Source organism: Homo sapiens, chromosome 12 (genome assembly GCF_000001405.40).
Source record: "Homo sapiens chromosome 12, GRCh38.p14 Primary Assembly".
NCBI lineage: Eukaryota > Metazoa > Chordata > Mammalia > Primates > Hominidae > Homo > Homo sapiens.
This window is the reverse complement of record NC_000012.12, coordinates 20,144,152-20,147,056: the sequence shown is the minus strand read 5'-3', so window position 1 is coordinate 20,147,056 and position 2,905 is coordinate 20,144,152. Positions and strand designations below refer to the sequence as shown.

The 2,905-nt window shown below is 38.8% G+C and overlaps 1 annotated feature.

The window, feature by feature from the left end:
* Positions 2,547-2,596: an enhancer, noted in NCBI's record as "active region_6085". NCBI's record gives its function as "activates an Ori minimal core promoter by ATAC-STARR-seq in GM12878 lymphoblastoid cells {active_cell/tissue: GM12878}" and the evidence as "EXISTENCE:reporter gene assay evidence [ECO:0000049][PMID:35858748]".

The window sequence follows — 2,905 nt, the reverse complement described above, 5'->3', positions numbered from 1 at the left end:
GAAACAATCAGAAGATAATGCCATCATCTTCTCCCACCAACTCTACCAACGTATATGCAGCTCAAACCTGCCTTGCTACTAGTTCACTTCACTATCATACAAGAACATCACAATGACCCTGGTTAAAATCAGAAAGATGCTTAGAAAACATGATACTAGAGCAGTGTTTCTCAAAATGTGGCATTCAGACCAGCATCATCAACATCACTTGAAAACTTGTTATAAATGCAATTTCCCAGACCTATTAAATAGGAACTCTGGAGGGTGGGAACCAGTACTCTGTGTTTATGAAGGCCTACAGGTAACTCGGATGCATGCTAAGGTTTGAGCACCCCTGGTCTAAAATGTATGGATCTAGTTATGTTTTAACTCCTGCTCAAAACAAAGTAGCATATAATAACTCATTGTTTTATTATTAGGAGGAAAGAAGAGAAAGAGGAGCACATTTAAGTACACAATTTTTGACTTGAAGAAATGTATGGAAATTTGAAATTGCCCCAAGGTTCTAGCCCATTCCTTTTCTAGATGAAATTAAAATCCAAGTATAGTAGTAACACATCCAAGTTCATATAGCTAGCCTTGAATCTGCCCTTTAATAGTGATGTTTAATGGGCAAATCAATTAACTTCCTCCTAAAATAGAGAGCTAATCTCTACCTTTCTATATTACTTTCCTAGGACTGCCAAAACAAATTACCACAAACTGAATGGCTTAAAACGATGGAAACTACAGACACAGGGAGGGGAACAGCACACACTGGGGCCTGTGGAGAGGTGGGGAGGGACAGCATCAGGATAAACAGCTAATGCATGCAGGGCTTAATACCTAGGTGATGGGTTGATAGGTGCAGCAAACCATCGTGGCACAGGTTTACCTATGTAACAACTGCACATCCTGCACATGTATCCTGGAACTTAAAATAAAATAAAATAAACAAACTTATTCTCTCACAGTACAGAGGCTGCTAGAATCCTAAATCCAGATGTCAGGAGTGTTGGTTACTTCTGGAGGTTCTGAGAGGGAATCTGTTCCATGCCTCTCTGCTAGCTTCTGATGGGTGCAAGCAATCTTTGACATTTCTTGGCTTGTAGATGCATCACTCCAATATCTACCTCCATTTTCGCATGGTATTCTCCCCTACATGTCTGTCTCTGTGTCCAAATTTTCCTTTTCTTAAAAGAAAATCAGTCATTTGATTAGGGATTACCCTAATCCACTCTGACCTCATTGTAACTTGATATACATTTTTAAAGACCTTATTTCCAAATAAGTGTCTGTTACATTTACATGTACTGGGGGTTAGGACTTGAATATCTCTTTAGAAGGGAGGGAGAAGATAATAATTTAAACCAGTATACTTTTCTACCATCTAAAAGCCATGGATAGGGGGAAACAAATTTTCTCTGCCTAAAGGAAAATGGAAATCCAAACTTCTCACACAATCCACTGCTGACTCACTGTGAAGTGTGAAGCACAGACCAGCACATCCATGATGCTCAGGACCACTGCCTACCACCTCAGCCTGCCCCCTATGACAAATGTTATATGTGCTTGCTTGTTGCTAACTGGCTACCTCGACCACCTATTCCACTTACTGGACCAAGGATGCTGATTCCTGAAATCTGCCTCCACGGCTGCCACTGCCCATGGGACCATCCCAATGCAGAATGCTCCATCCCATCCCACATCTATTAGGCCTCTCTCCAAGGCCACAGGTGAATCTAAATCTCAAGAAGCAATAAAATGACATAAATTCATATTATTTTATTTTTTAATGTACAAAAACATTAGTGTTCTCAGTAAGAGAATTGTGGTATGAATATGTTGGTGGGATTAATCATCCATATTTTACTTTCTAATGTGGCCGACCAAGCACTTGTGGTAGAAGCAGAAATTACAGCAGCTCTGCCATTGTCTTCTTTGCTCACTCTTGCATTGTTAATTTTTGTGAATCCATAGTTTTTTTCAGTAACCTTTTAGAACCACTTTTCAATTTGGAAAAGGGTTACTATAGTTAAAACCAGATATTGTAATTTATAAATTCACTGCATTAGGCTCAGGTAAACCACAATACACTGTCAACCCTTCCATGCTGTAAAATTTCTGCTTATCATTCAGGATATATTGGGAAATGTACATTATACATGACTGCTTCATGTAGGTCCAAGAAAAGGGGAAGAATAGGGAGAAAGAGGAGAAGGAAGAAGAGGAGGAAAAAGGAGAGTAACAGAAATAGGAATTAGAAGAAGTAGGAAGAGAAAAATCAGAAGAGGAGAAACAGTAGCAGCTGACACCACCACTAGGATCAATTTATATGTTTAATAGTAATAAAATATTTATTGTTCATAACTAATATTATGTAACTAGTATTAGATTAACATTCTAACATTTCCTTCACACTCCAATGGCTCATCTTATACGTGCATTTTGAGAACACCATCTAGGTGATGTCACCATTCATCTGAATTAAGCACCAAATAACTTGCTCTTTCAGTTCTTGATGTTCTTTCAGTTCTTGTTCTTTCAGTTCTCAATGTTCTCCTTTTATCTCTGCACCTGGTCTTTTCTTTTGTCATCTGTTAATACTTCCCACCCGACCTCAAGCTTCTGTGCTTCTAGATTGCTTGCTTAACTATTCCTTTAAAATGATCTTATGTTGCCTAGAGACATCCACTCTACTAATCCCTGTCATCATCCATATATATCCCCTTTACGGTCTTCACTTCCTTTCCAATATGACACAAAAGACACAACCAAGTACATTGGTCAATGTCTAGGATTCTAGGGTCCCACAGACCTGAATGTGTAATGCAGGGTGAGTTGCTTTACCTCTCTGAGCTTCAGTCTCTTTAACATGAAAAGTGGGGATAAAATAGAAGCTAACATAGTCTTCTTAGGAATATTT